Genomic DNA, 19,811 nt, shown 5'->3' on the forward strand with positions numbered 1-19,811 from the left:
ATAAGACTAGCTGGGCTTACACTGGGCAAGCTATTTCAACAAAACTTGGGTTTGAATTCCGGCTCTGACACTCACAAGTGGTGCAGCACTAACTCAATTAACTAACCCTTCTGACTCTCAGTTTCTCAAAATGTAAATAATCTCTCTCTCAGAGGGTTGTAGAAGCATCAAATGAGATCGTGGGTATATGATGTTAGAAAAAATCAACATGCATGCACCTGTGTGTATAGATATGCATATGTGTATATGTGTGTGTATCTATACACACACACAAATTCACTAAAGCTTTTCATTTCCCTATTAATTCCTGATGTCTACAAAGATGTTAATTTGGTAAAGTGATATCATTAAGCAATCAGGCATTTTGAACATTTTAATGTTTAATCCCTCTGATTTTAAACCATACATCCATGTAGTCTATTTTAAAGGTGTGGAGGCCCATGTAATAAAGAAGAATAACATCTACTGAATGCTCAAGTGCTAAGTATCATGCTTTGTACTTGAATGCGATATTATTGACTCCCCACACAATGTCATCACCACTGTTTATAGATGGAGAATGTGTGTCCCTAGTCACACACTAGTAAGAAAAGGGCTCAGATTTGAGTCGGTGTGATCTGAAATATCCTCTGCCCCTCTCTGTCCCCTCGGTATGCAGCTTGAGGGATGCCTAGCTCCCAAGTCTGGGGCGTTTAGCACTCTGAGATAATGATACTCATTGGCCCCCAAATCCTGATAAATCCCCAAATCCTTATCAAGCTTGTCAGACTCCTATAGACAGATGCCTTGGGTAAACCTATGTCATAGGTACACACAGAATTCTAAAATATCTTTGGTAATGGACAAAAGAAATTTATATTTCAAGATCATCTAAGAATTACATTTGGCTAGGCCCAGTGGCTCACACCTGTAATCCCAGCATTTTGGGAGGCTGAAGCAGGCAGATAGTTTGAGCCCAGGAGTTCCAGAGCTGCCTGGGCAACATAGGGGACCTTGTCTCTACAAAAAAAAAAAAAAAATTTAATTAGCCAGGTGTGGCACTGCACTCCTGTGATGCAGTGACTAGGGTGGGGTGGGTGAGGGGGACAAGGTAGGGGGATCACTTAAAGCACAGAAGATTGAGGCTGCAGTGAGCCGTGATTGCACCACTGCACGGCAGCCTGGGCAGCAGAGGGAGACCCTGTCTCAAAAGAAAATAACAAAAATTTAAACATAAAAATAAAATTTTCATTGAATGTCTGATTTCAAACTCCCACCCCTCCCTAATTTTCTCCCCAGTTGCAAACAAAAGCCAAGTGGGCCAGTCCGAGCTCCTGGCCTTCATTTTCCCTGCCCACCCGGTGCTAGTGAGCAGCGAAATGGCCACCTAGAGGGTGGACCAGCAGGGGCCTCGGCTGTCCTAGGAGTGGATCGCGGCCCCACATATGTCACGACACCACTGGCTTTGGCACACGCTGCAGCGAGGCTGGCACGGCCCTGGGGCCAAACGTGGCACGGCCGAGGTGCAGCAAGGAAGGCTTTGTGCCCTGCCTCCCAAATGGAGTTCCAGGAAGGAGTCAGATGACCTGAGTTATGGAAACCAAATGGCCCTCCTTTGTTTAGAGAGAGAGAGAAAAAAGTCACTCATTTTTGTGGTAAAATGAAAACAGGCTCCAAACCAAACAATCCTCTCGGAGCAGAAAATGCCAGCTCCACAGAGCAGGCCCACAGCCTGGGAGGCTGATACACTCGGATGGAGGAAGGTCTTCCACAGCCTCAGCGAAGCCTTTGCAGGCCTCCCAGTGAGATTTTCCTCTGTTTTGCTCCAGAAATATTTGGTCTCCCAAGCAGAAAAGGAAAAGGAAAGGAGGGGGAAAGTGAGAAATGTCTGCCTGGCCTGGGCCACACTCATCCTCTCACTCCTTTCCAGTTGGGATGGAGGAAGGAGAGAGGAGTTGTCCAGAGGCAGCCGGAAGTGAGGCCAGGCGCTAACCCAGGAGCAGGGCATGCCAGCCTGGAGTCTCCCTGGCTGTGGCGCTGCAGTGCGCTGCCTCGGATGCTCTCCTCGGCGTGACCCAGCTCTCCCCACAGAAGGCAGCCAGAGTCACATGGCCTCCTGTGGCTGCTCTGTGGCTGCCCCGTGGCTCTGTGGGCTGGCTATGTGGACAGGAATCTGTACTCCCAGGTACTGCTGGTGCATGTGCAACAGGATAAGCCATGGCCACGAGGAAATAAATATAGGTTCGAGTCAGCCACGCCTGTCCCCAGTTCAGTTTATTCTCTAATACAAGCCTTTCCTGGAATGGAGAATCTCTTAGTGAGAAAAGAGTAATGCAGAGTTCATTTCTAGTCTTGGCTTTGCCTCTGGCTTGCGGTGCAACCTTAGCTCACTGTCATCCCGCTCAGCCTCCATTTTGCATCTGAAATATGAGCCTAATGATCCCTGCCCTGCCTTAACTCACGAGGTTGTCATTACAAGGAAACGAAGCACAGCTTCTATCAAGGCTGGTGCTTATAGCCTATTAGATAATCATGCAGACTCTGCAGCCAGGCTGCCTGGGTGCAGATCCAAGCTCCCGTGTGTAACCTTGGACAAGCTACTTAATCTCTCTATGTCTGTTCCTCACCTTTAAAATGAAAGGAATAATACACCATCCTGATAGCTCTGCTAGAAGTTTAAATTTGACTAAGTGACATACAGGAAGTGCTTAGAGATTGCCTGCATGCAACATGCGCTGGCAAGTCTGGCTGTCATTGTAGATGCTCCTTGACTTAAGATGGGGTTATGTCCTGATAAATCCATCGTAAGTTGAAAATACCATAACTCAAAAATGCATTTAATACACCTAACTTCCCAAACATCATCGCTTAGCCTCGCCTACCTTAAACATGTTCGAAACACTGACATTACCCTATGGTTGGGCAAAATCATCTAACGCAAAGCCTATTTTATAATAAAATGTCGAATAGCTCATGTAATTTATTTAATATTATACTGAAAGTGAAAAACAGAATAGTTGTATGGGTACTCACCATTAATATACACAACTGAAAGCACCTTTATAAAGTCACAGTATTGTTTAAGTCGAACCATTGTTAAGTTGAGGACTGCCTGTATTATCATCACCGATGGAAGGACATCTTGAAAATAATAATGCTTGGGCCGGGTGCGGTGGCTCACGCCTGTAATCCCAGCACTTTGGGAGGCCGAGGCAGGCGGAGCACAAGGTCAGGAGTTTGAGACCAGCCTGGCCAATATGGTGAAACCCCATCTGTACTAAAAAAATATATAGAAATTAGGTGGGCCTGGTGGCAGGTGCCTATAATCCCAGCTACTTGGGAGGCTAAGGCAGGACAATCACTTGAACCCGGGAGGCAGAGGTTGCAGTGAGCCAAGATTGTGCCACTGCACTCCAGCCTGGGTGACAGAGTGAGACTCTCAGAAAAAAAAGATAATAATAATAATAATAATGCTCAATTTAGGTACTACATGATCCTACACTGTCATCATAAGCTTTATAATTTTACTCAATACAGCGTCACCATTCCTGCAACATTCCATCATCTGCCAACAGCTGATTCCAAATATGAGGATAACCTCCAGTAGTTCCCTGTTGCGCTTAGAAAAAATTTCAAAAGCTTCATCATGGCCTATGTGGCCGTGGTCATCTGGCCCTGCTGCCTTTTCTAGCCTCATTTGGAGCCATTGTCTGTCTCACTTAGATTCAACAGCCTCACTGGCCCTCTTTTAGCTCTCAAAAGATCTGGGGTCCTTCTTGCCCCGGGATCTTTGCAGTGCCTCCCCCTCTCCCACTCCATCCCATCACCCAACCTCAGGTTTCAGCTTAAATAGCCTTTCCTTGGGGAAGCATTTCCTGACCTCCCAGATGAGGGCCAGCCCCCTCCTCCTTTTGTGTGCTCATCACAATTATAATTACATAACAATTTGTGTAATTACTAGCATGTTGGCTCCTTGGACAAGGTACTTTATCTGTTTCGTTCATTGCAAGCCTTAGCACATTGCTTGGCACATGGTACACACTCAAAGAATTTATTTTTTAATTATGTTAAATAACTGTCTCTCCTGCCTCCTATAAAATCCATGAAAGCAGAGACTGTGTTTCTCTTCTCAAAGCCTGCATCTCTAGTATATAGTAGGTCTTCAATAAATATTTGTTGAATGAATGAATAAACAAATGACCTGGAATAACCTCCCTAACTTTTCACCACTTGAAGATTTTCCTGTACATCTTCTTCCTCCTCTTGCCAATGGGGACGTTGTGCTTAGCACTCAGATGTGTCCTCTATCTCCCATCCCAGGCAGCTTCCTAACCTTCACTCAGGCAAGAGTTTAATGTCAGCTATATTCTGCAGTCATGACTTGCAGATATCATAAGCGACATCAGTGTCACAACAAAAGCAGAATATTATCCTTTAATAATATATGTATTCCTTTGTATCTTCTAGTTATAGGAACTTGTAGTCACAGCCTGATTAATGACATAGATCTTATTCATCTTCATTTCACCTGTAGGCCCTACCACAGCCTTTTTGTACAGCACATGTACCCAATCAAAGCTGAGGCTTGAAGGGATGACTATTATATACTTAGTATAATAACTTCTCAACCCTGTCTCTGGCCCCAGAAACTGGGATACAATGAAGTTCTTAGTGAGCTTGAATTGAAGCCACTTTAAGCTTTTTCCTGGTCATCCATTAGAAGAAGCACAAGAACTTCCCTACTCCAAGAGTCCCCGACTCTGATTCACCTTCTACAGCTACATCTGCTATGACCTCCAAAATCATCACTTCAGTTTTACTCAAAAACCCACCAAAGTTCTTTCTATAACTTACAGAACTTTGTGCAAATCCCTCAGGCTAACTCAAAGAACTTGACCAAACTTTCTATACTGATCTTTTCAAATTCTTCTTATATCCTACCTTGGAACATGCCTTTAGTATGCCCTGTCTTTGCTCATGCCATTCCTCCAACCAAGAATGTCTCTTCCCCATCTCTGCACAAAAGCATAGCTCATGTTTTGTGCTTTCCGAAGACCTGACTATGACAGCCATGTACAGGAAGCTTCCTGTCTTATGAAGCCCAATGATACTTTGGTGAAGTCATTTGTCAGCAAACTTTTTCCACAAATATGGCTTATCTCTCCAACTACCCTTAGACGTGGAACTCCTTAGGACCAGTCTAATATTTTCTTGTTTCCCCTCAGTGATTCCTGCTCTATCTAGGAGTTCACTCACTATTTTCTCACCAGTTGACTCAACTGCACATACCACAGGAAGCTATGATTCAGGCAGGAGCACTTGAGTTCACTGCTAATGGGTTTTACAGCTCAAGAGTTTTGTTTTTGTTTTTGTTTTTTTATTATTATTATACGTTAAGTTCTAGGGTACATGTGCACAACGTGCAGGTTTGTTACATATGTATACATGTGCCATATTGGTGTGCTGCACCCATTAACTCGTCATTTACATTAGGTATATCTCCTAATGCTATCCCTCCCCCCTCCTCCCACCCCACAACAGTCCCCGGTGTGTGATGTTCCCCTTCCTGTGTCCAGGTGTTCTCATTGTTCAGTTCCCACCTGTGAGTGAGAACATGCGGTGTTTGGTTTTCTGTCCTTGCGATAGTTTGCTGTACAGCTTAAGTTTTTAAGCTCAAAAAGATTTTTGTTTTTTTGGTATCTCCCTGGACTTGGTTGATGTTCTCTAGAAGTCATTGAATTTGAAATTATAAACTCACCTCCCTCTTCTTAATCCAGTGATTTCCTTTTTGCAGATGAGAAGCCCTTTTCTGTGGAAGATACTTATTTACTGTGTCCAGCGCCTATCTTAAAAGAAGTTGGCATGTAAGTTTTCACCAGCAACTGAACCTCCCAGCCAGGGAAGAGAGAGAGGAGGTGTACGGGGACAGGGGAAAAGAAAGCATCTAGAGAAAGTGGAGCCTTTCTCTAGGTTCCTCCAGCTTATGACGGAGCCAGTGTTTACAGTGACCCAGACGCCAGGATAAGTGTTTTACAAAGTATCTCACTTCATTCTCCCAGGTTCCCCATTAACTAGGTATTCCCACTATCCCAGTTTTACAGACATAGAGACTGTGGCTGCAAGACTTTAAATAGCTTGCCTAAGGTCACACAGCAGTGAGTGGAAGAGCTGGGCTCAATCCAAGGTCTGTCTGGCTTAATCACACCTACACTTCTAGAAAGTTCTCACACACTTGACCTCGCTCTGTCATCACCATTGCCCCGCTAGATAATTGTTATCTCCTCCTTAGAGAAAGGGAGGCTCAGAAAGGCCAAGTAGGGCCATGGCTGGTTCATGGCGAGCCAAGACCCCAGACTCACGCCTTCTGATGTCCCACACGGTGCTCCTTCCTTGACTCTGCGCAGCATCGGATGTTCACCCAGACCGGAAAAAATTCCCTGAACTAATTTATAGGGGAAAATCTCATGGTGATGCAATTATAATAAGCACTAGTGAGATGAGATCAAAACCATCAACAGAAGAAAGAGAATGGGCACCCTGAGCAAGAAAAGAAATACATGGGAAATGAGGCAATGCTGGTGCAGAGAACAATAACAACAAAAATAACCTCTCCAAAACCGTGTCTATAATAGGCTAGACAAAGAATGGAGGCTTTAAGGGAAAAAAGTTGAACTTGTTCATCTGAATTTTGCCTTCAATCGTGTGTTCATATTGTGAAACCTCCAACTCTGGTTGCCCAGCATCAATCTGTGATGCCACTGATTTCACAAATTAGCTCAGTGTCCATGCTGCGAAATGCAACAAAACAAGAGGTCAGTTTCCAGCGAGTGTCTTAGAGTGGGAAGAGATGGAAGACAAATGCATCTTCTGCTTTACTTCTGTGAGTCTGTTGAATGGTAACAAAGCCACCCCCATCAAATCACTGAGAGTCCAGATAACAGCAGAATATTGCATTTATAGTTAGCCCAGTCTACCCCCATTGACTTGGACTATTTTTGAAGAATACTTTGTCCAACTACAATGTGACAAGCAAGTTAAATGAAAGTAAGCTTTGCCCATTCAATGCCACTCACTGCAATGCCGGAACGTCTGAATGCACTGCCTTAATATACCAGCCAAGCATATCCTGACACTTCTCTAAACTTTAAAGGAGGATGGGCTATACAGACTACCCCCGACATTTTACAAAAGAGGAAACTCAGACCCCTCCTCCCCTGGAGAAGAGACTCCAGTCTCAAGGGTATTTAAGAGCAGAGCCCAAAGGAGTCCTGTGTGTCTGGCTCTCAGCCTGTTGCTCATTGCACGCCCTGCTGAGAGTCTGCTTCCCTTGTTGTCATTGCAGGAAAGCTGCACTCCAGGTCAGCATGAACGATGGCCTCTCTTTTATCTCCAGTTCTGTCATCATCACCACCACACACTGTGTAAGTCATAACCTTTCCCTTTACTAAAGATCTCATTATCATTGTCACTATCAACGTTTCTTAAGCAGTAATCTTCTCCAAAGGTACCCTGGAAAGTTTTTTGGTTCTTCGTTCTGCTTGCTGAGCTTTGATCCCAGCACTGCTCCACCAGCCCCAGGCTGGATTGGGGTGTGCTGTACCCCAGAGTGTATCAGGCATGTCTGTGTTAAGTTCTCCAGCTTCCCCATTTCTGCTGAAGGGGAGATCTAAAGTCACTGGCCTGACCAGACGGTAAGATGGGCTATGTCTGTGCAGTAATGAGGGTGGAGTCCCAGATAGAGTGGGTTTAGGAGAGAATGGACGGAAGGGAATTGGACAGCATATACAGAAAGAACGTCTTAGGGAGTTCATCTCTAAAGGGATGCAGGAAAATGGGTATGAGCTGAAGGAAAATGTGGAGTTTGGGGAGGTCATTTTATTTAGGATGGGAGAATTTGCAACTTGCTTATTATTGTGGAAATAATCCAGGAGAAAATGGAAAACTGATGAAGCAGGAGAGAGAGTGGGGAAGGAGCCCTTACAATAGGGATTGTGAGGCAAGAGCGGGGACTGCATTCTCTCTCCCAGCTCCTCAGATAGCCCTTCTCTGGAGCCTTCGCATCAAGTAGTTTTCATTCCTGGCTATATATAAAATCACCTGGAGAGCTTTTTAAAAAGATTGGTGCCCTGACCGCATTCGAGACTGACTGAACCTAAGCCTCTGGCATGAGCCCTAGCTTTGGTGGTTCCACGGCATCCCCAGGAGGTTGTCATGTGCAGCTGTGACTGAGAACCCGTCAGCCTCTGGAGTTGGTCCTGCCCACTGTCAATGTCTCAGAGCTCAGCCTGTCAGGGGGCAGTCAGGGCTTAGTTAGCTTGTGTCAAGACCTCAACCTTGTCTGGGCACAGTGGCACAGGCCTGTAATCCCAGCACTTTGGGAGGCTGAGGTGCATGGATCACTTGAGCCCAGGAGTTCAAGACCAGCCTGGGCAACATGGTGAAACCCTATCTCTACAAAAAAAACAAAAATTAGCTGGGCATGATGTCGCACACCTGTAGTCCTAGCTACTCAGGAGGCTGAGATGGGAGGATGGCTTGAGCCCGAGAGGTGGAGGTTGCAGTGAGCTGAGATTGCACCACTGCACTCCGGCCTGGGTGACAGTAAGACCCTGTCTCAAAAAAAAAAATTAAAAAAAGACATCAGCCCCTAACATGAGCATTTCCAAAATAACCTTTGTCGGCGTATTCAGTTTCTTTAACTGAATACATTTCTCCATTAGCTCATTCTAGAAACTAATGTTTGGCCTGATGGTCAGCTTAGGAAGTTATTATACTATAGTCACTTCCTCGTTGGCCTTTGGAAGCTGTGTTGTTAGAACCTCTCAGTAACTGGAGTTGTGTCCTTAATACCATCACAGTTGGATAAGAAAGAGCAGGCATGCACTGAATGTAGATAATATAGAAATGGGTTATCATAAAAGAACAGGAAGCCAGTCCTCATGATGGACAACAGTCTCCCTCCTAATGCCCCCAACACCAATTTTCATCTTGTGTTAGGAGCAAACCAATTTTCTTGAAAGCAGGGTAACCCATTGTAAAGGTACAGATGATGGGAAAGTTTTACTTGACCAAAGCAAGAAACTAGGATTGTGTCAGAGAAGTGTTACCACTGAGAAATGTCCATGTCTCAGACATCTGGTCAACCCTCAGTCTGTAGGCCTCAGTAGGACACCACCAAATTTTAAAAACTGTATGCAGAAGTGTTGAAATTTCTTCAAGTGTATCCTGCCTGATCCTGTTGAAAATTGACCCTTCTGGGACCTGCCAACCTGCAGGAAATGATTAAAATACTCTAAATCAAATAACTCCATTTCAGATTCCTGCCAGCTTTTGAGTGATCCAACAGTTGGATCTGTATTTCTCATTATGTCTGACCATACCACCAAGAAACAGCCACTGCCCTTGAGACCACAGAGCAGAGGAAGTGGGAAGGGAAGACATCTCAGGACTAAACTTGTGGTATGGCAAATACAGGGCTACAACTTTAAATCATGGGCCTCTAATTAAGAAGAAAAGGTGTCCTTGCCAATGCATTGCAAAATTAGAAGAATTCCCATTGAGTCCCACTACACCTTCCCAACCCACGGCAGCCTCCAGTTACATCTTACATCTCCCTCATCTGAGCACATGCCACTAAATCTTCTCTTCACTTGACCCTTGATCAAGACCACCTCATAATATATTCTGCATTATTCCATTTTCATGTGAGAATGCTGTATTCGTTTACAACAAAATTATAACCACTCTAAGATTTGTGATCCAAGTTCTTTCAATCATGTATTCAACACATATTTATTGATCACCATGTGCTAGGTACCACTCTGGGTGCCTGGGTTATATCAGAGAATGCAACAGATAAAAATACCTGTGTGATGGGGGAAGGGAAGACAATGAGTTATAAACATAGTAAACAAACTACATGCTATGGCAAAAGGTAATAGATGCTATAGGATAATTAGAGGAGAGTGAGAGGATTTCCTACTACCTAAGCGAGTAGGTTCCAATTGTAAATAGAGTAATGGATACATTGAAAAGGTGGTATTTGAGTAGCAACCTGGATAGTGAGGAAGTTAACCATGAGGCTATGGGAGTGTGGGGAAGGGTGGGATATCCCAAACCAAGAGCCCTCATGCTAAGACCCTGTGGCCAGCGATCCTTGGTGTTCACAGAAGAGCAGGCAGGGAGGTGCCATCCCCAGGCATCTCCACGCCTGCTGCTGTCCTTATTCCCTCTCAGGATAGCAGCAGGCAGTGAGGTGCCTGGGGATAGGATGTGCAGGGTTGTGGAAGGACTTTGGCTTTTGAGCAGAGGAAAACATGGTCTGACTTATATTTAGAAGATTACTTGGCTGAAGGCAGACAGAGACAAAGATGGAAGCAGTGTGACTTGTTAGGAGGGTTATGGCAATATTTCAGGCAAAAGGTGATGATGGGTTGAATCAGGGGAGGGCAATGGAGGTGGAGAGAAGTTGTCAGAGTTGGATTTATTTTGAAAGCAGAGCTAATGAATTTTCCAAAGCATTGAATATAGGGTTTAGAGAGAGAGAAGAATCAAGAATGTCCCAAGGGTTTTGGCCTAAGAAACTGAAAGGATGGAGTTGCCATCAGCTGCCAGACAGGAAGAAGACAGAGGGAGAAGAAGACTTAGGGAGGAGGGGGAACAATCAGGGAATCAGTTTTGCTGTGTACTGGTTATGTGACCTTAATAAGTTGTTTAGCCCCTAGCCAGGTGCCATGGCTCATGTCTGTTATCCCAACACTTTAGGAGACATAGGCGGGTGGATCACTTGAGGGCCAGTTTAAGACCAGCCTGCCCAACATGACAAAACTCTGCCTCTACTAAAATACAAAAATTAGCCTGGCATGGTGGCACATGCCTGTAGTCCCAGCTACTTTGGAGGCTGAGGCAGGAGAATCAGCCTGAACATGGGAGGCGGAGGTTGCAGTGAGCTGAGATCATGCCACTGCACTCCAACCTGAGTGACAGAGCGAGACTCCATCTCTGGAAAAAAAAAAAAAATTTGTTTAGCCCTTTTGTGCTTTAATTTCCCAATCGATAAAACTAAGATAATAAAAAATTTATATCAGTATTGTGAAGATTAAATGAAATAATATTTGTAAAGTATTTGGCAGAAGACCTAGCAGGTAGTAAGTGCTCAGTAATTATTAGCTGTTTTATAGTGGAAGCTTAATGAAAAAAGTTTTAACTAATTTGAGATTCTTCCTAGAGAGCTGGCTCTTTAATTCAGAGTCTCATTATAACCAAGGGGCTCCTCTGAGACAACATGTATCCGGGGGTACATGTTTATCACTAGACCAAGCCCAGGTGATTGAAAGGGGGAAGAAGAGATGGCCAAATTCATCCAGAAAAGGGGCCTCATATTCAAACATAAAACTCCAGTCCCCAACCAGGTCCTACACAGCAACTCAAATTAAAGGCTGAAACTATCATTGGGCAAAATAGAGATGCAGGTGGAACGTGTGGGTATCCAAAATATGAAGTAAGGTCTTGGACTTTCGTTTGTTTCTTGGGAAGCTGGTTTGGAGGACAAGGTTTTTCAATCAAAAGTGATCCCCTGGGTCTGAGTAAACGGATATTGTCAATGCCAGTCACAGCCTGCCCAGTTCATCACCTGGAACCAAAAATATTTTTAAAATATGTAGTTGAGACTTTTCTTTTCTCACTTTATTTGGTGCCCATTTGGACACCTGTGTCACAAGTTTTCAAGGTCTGCAAATGAATAACTGTTGCCTGAGCCAGAAGCAGAAATTCCATGGAGTTTTACAGGAAAGAGATTTTTCCGTCCAAGAGCTAAAACATTCCTATACAAATGGTAAACTTTGGTGAGCTCCATGACTATAGAAAATGGTCAAACATCCAGAGTCCTCTCTCACCAGATATTTAAATACACCCATCTCTGTAGTCTTAACTGCCTCACTTTTCTTCACCAAACTCCAGCCAGAAGTTGAGAAAATTACTAATATAGTGCTGCTTTCAGTAAAGTATTGAAAAGAGATTTGTCCTTTTGAACAAAGCAAGCAAATTTTAGAAACATAAAGAACTTTTCATGAAGATTGTTTTCTTTTAGGTACTTAAAAATTCTATTATTTCCCACCCAAAGTGTCCAAAAATCAAGAAATCAATCAAGTATGTCTTGAACTCCTACTGTGTCTCCTAGTCACTGTCCTTAAGGAGCCTAAAATCCAGTTGGAGAAAGAGTCCAACAAGCATATAAAAGAGTGTATAATAGGCCGGGCGTGGTGTCTCACGCCTGTAATCCCAGCACTTTCAGAGATTGAGGCGGGCAGTTCACAAGGTCAAGAGATCGAGACCATCCTGGCCAACATGGTGAAACCCTGTCTCTACTAAAAATACAAAAATTAGCTGGTGTGGTGGCGTGCACCTGTAATCCCAGCTACTCAGGAGGCTGAGGCAGGAGAATCGCTTGAACCTGGGAGGCAGAGGTTACAGTGAGCCGAGATTGCACCACTGCACTCCAGCCTGGTAACAGAGCAAGACTCCATCTCAAAAAAAAAAAAAGAGTGTATAAATGTATAATAAAGAACAAGATTGTATGAGTCAGGTGTAAATGCCATAGGATTTCAGAGCAGGGAAGGATAAGTGAAGGCAAGAAGAGTCAGGAGAGCTTCATGGAGAGATAACACCTGAGTGATTTGAAACGTAGTAATTACAGGTGAAGAAGTGGGACGAGGCCATGCCCTAAAGAGACACCAACCCGAACCAGGGATGGATATATCTCTGAGCATAGTTTGTTCATGGGCTCTCCCAGACCATGACTTTGTTGTTGTTTTTCCTTCTTGTTTTGCATCCATTTCTGGGGCCTTTCAATTTGGGGACATTTCTCAAGTTGGCAACTATCTTTGTAGGATGTACGCTCTACACCCTTGATCTTGAACACCCAAGATGTGGCAGTGCGGCCCAGTTGATGCTCATCCCTGTTAACCCTGATCAGGATTTGCTTTGTACTGGCTGCTGGGTTGGAAAGTCACAATCTTTGAAGAAAAGAAAATGACCTAAAGTTAGACACAAGGTTCCAAATTCAACATTAAATAAATGAAGACCCCTGTTTTTTTCTCCTGATTTATATGAAAAACAGCCTGACTGCAGTAGCAACAAGGTTCAATAACTTTGAGCGGATCCATGTCATATCACTGTTTAGAGAAATGCCATTTGAATGAAACCTGAAATTCAACAAACTGAGACCTGAAACATCAAAGCGAAAACAACTGCTCTATAACTGCAGGATAATGGAGGAATTAAGAATACAGGATATTGAGTCGAAAATCTTTATTTCACATCCCAGCCCCTTGACTTTCCAGGGTGATCCTGGACAGGTTTACCTGGAGTCTGTTTCAGAACCTGTCTCGCATTTTTATAGTAAAGATTAAGTATATAAGGGGCTTGAGGTACATAATAGTCTGTTCAAAAAATGACAGCTGTGTATTAGGTTATTGACCTAACTTTCCTTGCCAAGTAAAAGTCTAATGCCCTGCCCCATTAGATTCACTGTACATGTCCCGTGGCTTATAAACAGGCTATCTCCCCCTGATTAAGAAGCATGCTCCTTTTGAGTCTCTACGATAAGACTGTATTTTAGGAGCAGGCTGGAAAAAATCTTTGAAGATGTTGCCCACAAGATAACTAGGAAGAAAAACACCAGTAAATCAGATGTGGTGATAAGTCAAACAAGACTGGGTGGCAGGCTGACTCTTTGCTACTTTTGAAGAGTTTTCCTCAATAAATGAATCAAGTAAATAGTAACATAGGGAAATATTTAGACAAATTAAACACATGAATTAAAGCAAATAAAGTTGATACATTATTACCACATGCAAAATTTCTGTTGCCACAAAAAAAAATCTATCATGCATTCAGAATCTTGGGATTCTTAAATGTTCTTTTGTTCTATTCTATATGTACTTTCTTTGGGGCCCCTCTTTCTGATATAAAGATAGGAATTTGCCTAAAAAAATAATTTTAGCTCAAGATGACAAGCCTAGGGACCTTCTCACTTATATGTTGCCAGACAAAGACTCCAAAATTTTGTCTCCAAATTCCTCTTTTCCATATTCCAAGTCGTGCCTTCACTTCCTCCTCTCATGCAAAGGCCTGGAGAGCCACAGACTTGTTCATTATTTCAGGAAGAAAGACCCTCTTAACATCCGGGTTATTTTCAACACTTCATGACTACCAATGTTTCACAGGAAGGCGGGCCTCCGGCTGCCATATAGAGGTAGTTTATAGCTTTGGAAACAACTAGAGAGTTGTCATAAAGCAAACGCAGACATTGGAAAGAGCGGTTGTCTCTCAGGCATAGTATCGCCCCTATGTTTCTTGAGGCAAAACAGACCATCTTGTTCACCGTCACAACCCAGCACCTGGCACAATGTCTGCACATACTCATTACTCAGCAAATAATGATGGTTGAGTGAATAAATGAATGAACCCAATCAAGGGTCATACTGGTACCATGATGGCACCTACTGGCAGGAAAGAAAAGGAGCCAGAAGGAGGTAGAATCAGAACAGGGGGCTCTGAGTTGGTTGGGAGGTAGACTTCAGAAAAGGATGGCCAGCAATTCTATCTTCATATCCAAGGAGCTTGAGCATAATTTAACAGGGGAAAAAATCTGCCAGGTAAGAAACTATAACCAGCGTTCCCAGGAAGGGCAATAGTCAAAGATATCATCATAAAAGCACCAGCTCCAGTAGGAGCAGACCCCTGCCTGGGGTGCAGACTTGGTAGAAGGGTGTAGAAATAGCCCACTAACTGGATCAAGATTCTGGGCAGGCCTCTAGTCTGTGAGGATCTGCAGCACAAGGTTGGAAGCCAAGCAGAACCATAGAGACTGATAGACTCAAGATCACTCCAGAAAAGCTGTGACCCAGGGAACATTGGCATGGCCTGAGCTCACCCTGGAATACCAGAAACATAGATTACAGCAGTTCAGCTAATCTGGATGCTGCCAGCTGGGGCTGAGGATGCACAGTCTGCTTTAGTGAGTACTGGCTCAGAAGAGGATGTGCTGGAGCCCAGAGATAGAGGCCACAGTGACTGCAGGTAAAAGACAGCAGAGGAGGGCAGTGACCATCCCCCGCACAGTCTTTGGAGGAAATTTCCAGGTGTCTGTTTTCTAAGTCAGTTCATTTCCATTACCAGTTGCTTTAAAGCGATGAGAGAATACAAATCCAGCCTGGTTTTGTAGTCATTATGACTCTTTAGGTAAACAGACAGCTGGCATGGCTGCCCTTGCCAAAATCTCTTGAATTTCACCAGCCCGGTAGGGAGTGAATTCAGTAGCCTGTGCTGAGTGGCAATCTCACCTTCCAACATAATAAAAAATTATTGCGTACTCTTCAGAGAAAGTAGAAATCAGAGACATTTTTGTCTTCTATTTCTTTTCCAAGGTCAGCAAACAGTCCATCAATCAAGTGGGTAGCTGTCTTTGGGACAGACAATTCATTCCAGTGCTTTATGCATGTGGGCCTCTTTACTAAGGAAAGAAGGATGGGGAGGAGGTTGCTGGTAGCAAATGGAGCCAATGATATCATAACAATCAGGACCAACGTGTTTTAAATCTATACTCTGGGCAAAGTGTTAGGGACTCGAAGAATAGCCAGTCCTTGCCCTCCAGAGGCTTACAATACAGTTGCCAAGGCAGGATATATTACTTAAAGAGGTAAATATTATACAATTTGGGGTATAAAAGCAAATATCACACAGGTACCCTAAAATTCCCCACCTGTTCCAAAGACTCGTGAACCTTTAGATAAGTCAATGGACACAAACATGGCACGCTCTGAGGAGTGTCCACTTCATGGGCCTGGTGAGTTACTTCCCAGTTACCTAAGAAGGATTTTCACCCCTTCTGCAAAGCGAAGCTGGACAGATTATTCCAGAAATTCAGGTATAACAAGTAGGCAGCTCATGATTAGCTCAGTCCCAAAACTCTATCCCATGAGTGTATTTTCCCCAACAAGGATCTCCCCAAACTGTTTCTCAATACCAGGAAACAACCTCTGAAGAAAAGAAGACCCTTCCAAACAACCAGTTGCAGAGAACAGAATCAGGACTCACTAACTGACTTTCCCCTGTAGGTTCCTTCGCCCCAACAATATTATTCCACTTCCTGTCCAACTTTCCCACACCCACCGCTTCTTACTCATTCAGTGTCACATAACCTGGAAGAATGAGGCAAAACTGAACTGGAAGGGAGATTGGAGACTCACCTTGAAGAGGGTTTGAATGACAGAATATGGAGTTTGGGCAACGGGAAGCCATTTGAGGGAAGCACAATGCATTATTTTAGGAGGCTTAATTTAGCATGTGTATGCTTTAAGTATATTAGTAACAAAATGGCATTAATTTGGATGCCACTGATTTGTGAATTTGGTCATCTGGAAAAGGAGTAGGCTCTAGTTTACTTTTCCATTATTTGAGCTAAAGGAACTTAGTACCAAGAGTGACCAATCCACAGCATTGGGGCTACAAGTGAATCAGAGCCTCATACTCAGCCCTTGAAAAAGCATAGCCACTGACGCACTTTGTTATTGCTGTAATTATAGGTGATAGGTCCTTTGAAATATGTGGCTTAGCAAAACACAGAGGAAAGACTTGAGAGGAAAAGTGGGCTTTGGGATCAGATCAATGTGGCTAAAATCATGGTTCTGCTGCTTACAGGGTGTATGACTTTAGACTGAAATAATGTACTTAGAAGAGCTGACATGGGGCCTGGCACACAGTAGATGCCCAATCTTAGTTTTCTTGTACTGATGTTGTGGTCTCTATATGAATTTGTGCAGTGAGATGGTTTCCAAAGCCTCTGACTTCTGGTTGAATTAGCAGAAGTATAGTATCTGAAACTAAGGAGGTGATGGGACCTCTCAACTTGGTGAAGTTAAAATCTCCGTTCGAATATTGTGTTCAGTACCAAGGACACTCCAAGGGAGAACATAGAGAAACTGAGTGTATGAGAAATACTACCAAATACGGTATGTTATGTAGAATATAGAATTGGGGCTCTTTAGCCTGGGGCATACTTAGCATAGAGACAATATTCAAAGGGCTGCGCTGAAACACATGCAGCTATACCTTTAGAGCCCTAATTCTACAGATTATTTGTTGTATAGATCCAAGGGGTAGAATAGGCTCAAAGGAACAGTTTCTGGCTTCGTTTTTAAAAAGGCCTTTTTAATTAGCTGCATTGGGTGGGAATGAGCTCGCTATTATAGTTGCAGTCAAGCACAGGCAGCAGGACAACTTGGCAGAATAATGTAATCACCATTCATGCCTCAGAGTGGGGATTGGAATAGAAAAGCTTTCAGACTCCTTATGCTGCTGAGAGGCTGTGACTGTAGACCTAAAAGTATGTTAGGAAAGGAGTAAACTAAATACTACCAGTCCTATACAGTATCACAAATAAGTTTGGTTCTTACATCTTGAAAATGAATCTAAGAGAGCTCTGTTGGTGATACTGGAGACAACTTCTCTTAGTGCAGTTCAGATTGGCCAACCTCCACCTAATACAAGTGGGATCATATTTCAGACCAGAGTACTTCAAACTCCTGAGAATAATCTGTTTTCAAGTAATCTCAAAACACACCCTGTAATTTACAAACAACACATTAGTCCCAAATCAGTCTCCTCTATTTATTAGCCAGTCTCCATAGAGCCATACATAACTCAAGGTATTTTTTTTACAATGTCCCAGTATTTTTATTATTATGATTACTATTATTATTATTTTAACAGGATGGCTTGTGGTTTTACATACAATCATTAGAGACGGTAAAAGACCACAGGAATATCAGAGTGCGGAACTCAGATCTCAAATATTGTTTATGAACTGAAATAAAAGTAGTTTGCCAACATCTCTATTTTGACAACCCTTGTAACCCTTATATGTATAAAAATATCTTTTAAAAGATGTTTTGGATGATTTGTGCTGATTTGTTTTTCTTGGATGTTTGAGCAATTGACTTTCAATATGTTTATATCTAAGTATTTTAAAGAATGTTTTCCCTAAGTTTGACATTTCCTTGTTTTGAGAGTAAATTGAGAAAAAAAATATTTTTCTGAATCTATACTTTAGAAAACACTGAGATAAGCCAATAGTAAGATGGTAGAACTAGAAGTTAAATCAAAATAATCCACAAGCAAAATAAATATAATGGACCAAACTCAGCAGTTTAAAAACTCAGATTGACAGATTGTGTTTTTAAAATATCCAGCTATGTGTGATTTACAATAAAACATATATTCAATAAAACATAAGGACACAGAAAGATTGAAAATAAAAGCATGTGAAAAGTTTTATCAGGCAAATACCAAAAGAAAGTTAGTATAGCTATATTAATATTTGATAACAAACTTATTGGCAAAAAATTATCGGTCTAAAGAGGACCATTACATAATGTTAAAAGGAACAGTTAACCTGGAAGTTATAATAATTCTGATCTGCACTTAATGACATATCCTCAGCATATATAAAGCAAAAATTGATAGAATTGCAAAGAGAAATTGATAAATCCACCATCACAGGAGGTTTCTATACAATTCTCTCAGTAATTAATAGATCAAGCAGCCAAAAGAATTAATAAAATATAAATGAAGAATTTAATTAAATATAATCTAGTGGACACATGATAAAGCCTCAGCGTAACATTCAAAATAGGGTCCAAAGTTTTTTGGTTGCGTACAATGAAGACTTATGCAACTATAAGACTAATGACAAAAATATCATACTTCATCAAATCTAAGACACACTTTTCTTTCCACATTTTAACATCTCTAAAATTGATATGTTTCAGATCATAATAATATATCATGATATAATGGGCAGTGTTTTCCCTAATAGCTCATAAAATAGTGAGACATCCTACCACAGATACATCTGAAATGCAATGAAATATTCTCTGTCAGTCTGTACTGTACCAAAAGTAAAGATAATGAAATATATCCTGAATGAAACTGATCAGTCACTTATTTTCCACTGCCCACCCCCATTCACAGTGGAAAATAAGAACTCTAGCCTTTCCCCTTTGGGGAATGGCTTACTGTATATAGGAAATCTGCATCCAACAGAGAATATCTATTCTTTTTTAAGTACACTTTCACACTTTAAAAAAAGCAGTCATGTACTGTAAGCCAAGACTCAACAAATTTATAAAAATGACATATAGATCATATTCTGGTGCCAAATAAAAAACAATTGAAATCAATAGCCAATCAAGTTACCAATCAATTTTGAAAATCTCATGTTTTGAAATTTCAAACACACACCCAAAGCATTTGTGAGTCAAAGTAATATCATAATGTAAATTAGAAAATACTTAGAACTGACCAATTATGAAGATGCCAAAACCAAAACTTGGAATGCAGCTAAGTGGTCCTTACAGGGAAATTTGTCATCTTGAGGGTTTATGTTAGAAAAGAATAAAAGTTTAAGACAATTAGCCAAGCATAGAACACAGGAGATTAGAGAAGAATGACAGAGTAAACCCTTTCAAAAAAGAGAAGGCCAAGACCAAGAAAGAACAGAATAGAAAACAAGATAAATGGAGAGGTAACAAAGAAAACTATTAGTTGGGCATAGAAGAGGTGAAAAGAGAAATAGACATGTATAGAAAGAACTGTGTACTTGCTTGTCAATCTGGATGGGAAGATAAGCTGAAGTCAATGCTGTCATGGGTTCTGGGTAGTACTGGAGAGAAATCATTGATCAAGAGAACCAAGAAAGCACACGCAAACTGAGTTCATCCCCCACCTACCCCTTTCCTTCCTAGAAAGCCTTTGTACACAAAATGGTTGCT

At 42.3% G+C, this 19,811-nt stretch overlaps 1 protein-coding gene across 6 annotated transcripts in view; it reads left to right on the forward strand.

The window, feature by feature from the left end:
• ANTXR1 (ANTXR cell adhesion molecule 1) overlaps window positions 1–19,811 on the forward strand; it is a 236,184-nt gene that overhangs the window by 104,100 nt on the left and 112,273 nt on the right. For 4 of the 6 annotated variants that reach the window (NM_053034.2, NM_018153.3, XM_017005077.3 and 1 more), the window contains exons 11-12: window positions 5,774–5,843; window positions 7,322–7,400. In NM_053034.2, the coding sequence (NP_444262.1) occupies window positions 5,774–5,843; window positions 7,322–7,400 (149 nt within the window). Of the gene's footprint in view, window positions 1–5,773; window positions 5,844–7,321; window positions 7,401–12,866; window positions 17,939–19,811 lie in introns of those variants that run through there. The other 2 variants (XM_017005076.3, NM_001410840.1) reach the window with 2 other exon arrangements.

The sequence above is a fragment of the Homo sapiens genome, chromosome 2 (assembly GCF_000001405.40).
Source record: "Homo sapiens chromosome 2, GRCh38.p14 Primary Assembly".
Taxonomy (NCBI): domain Eukaryota; kingdom Metazoa; phylum Chordata; class Mammalia; order Primates; family Hominidae; genus Homo; species Homo sapiens.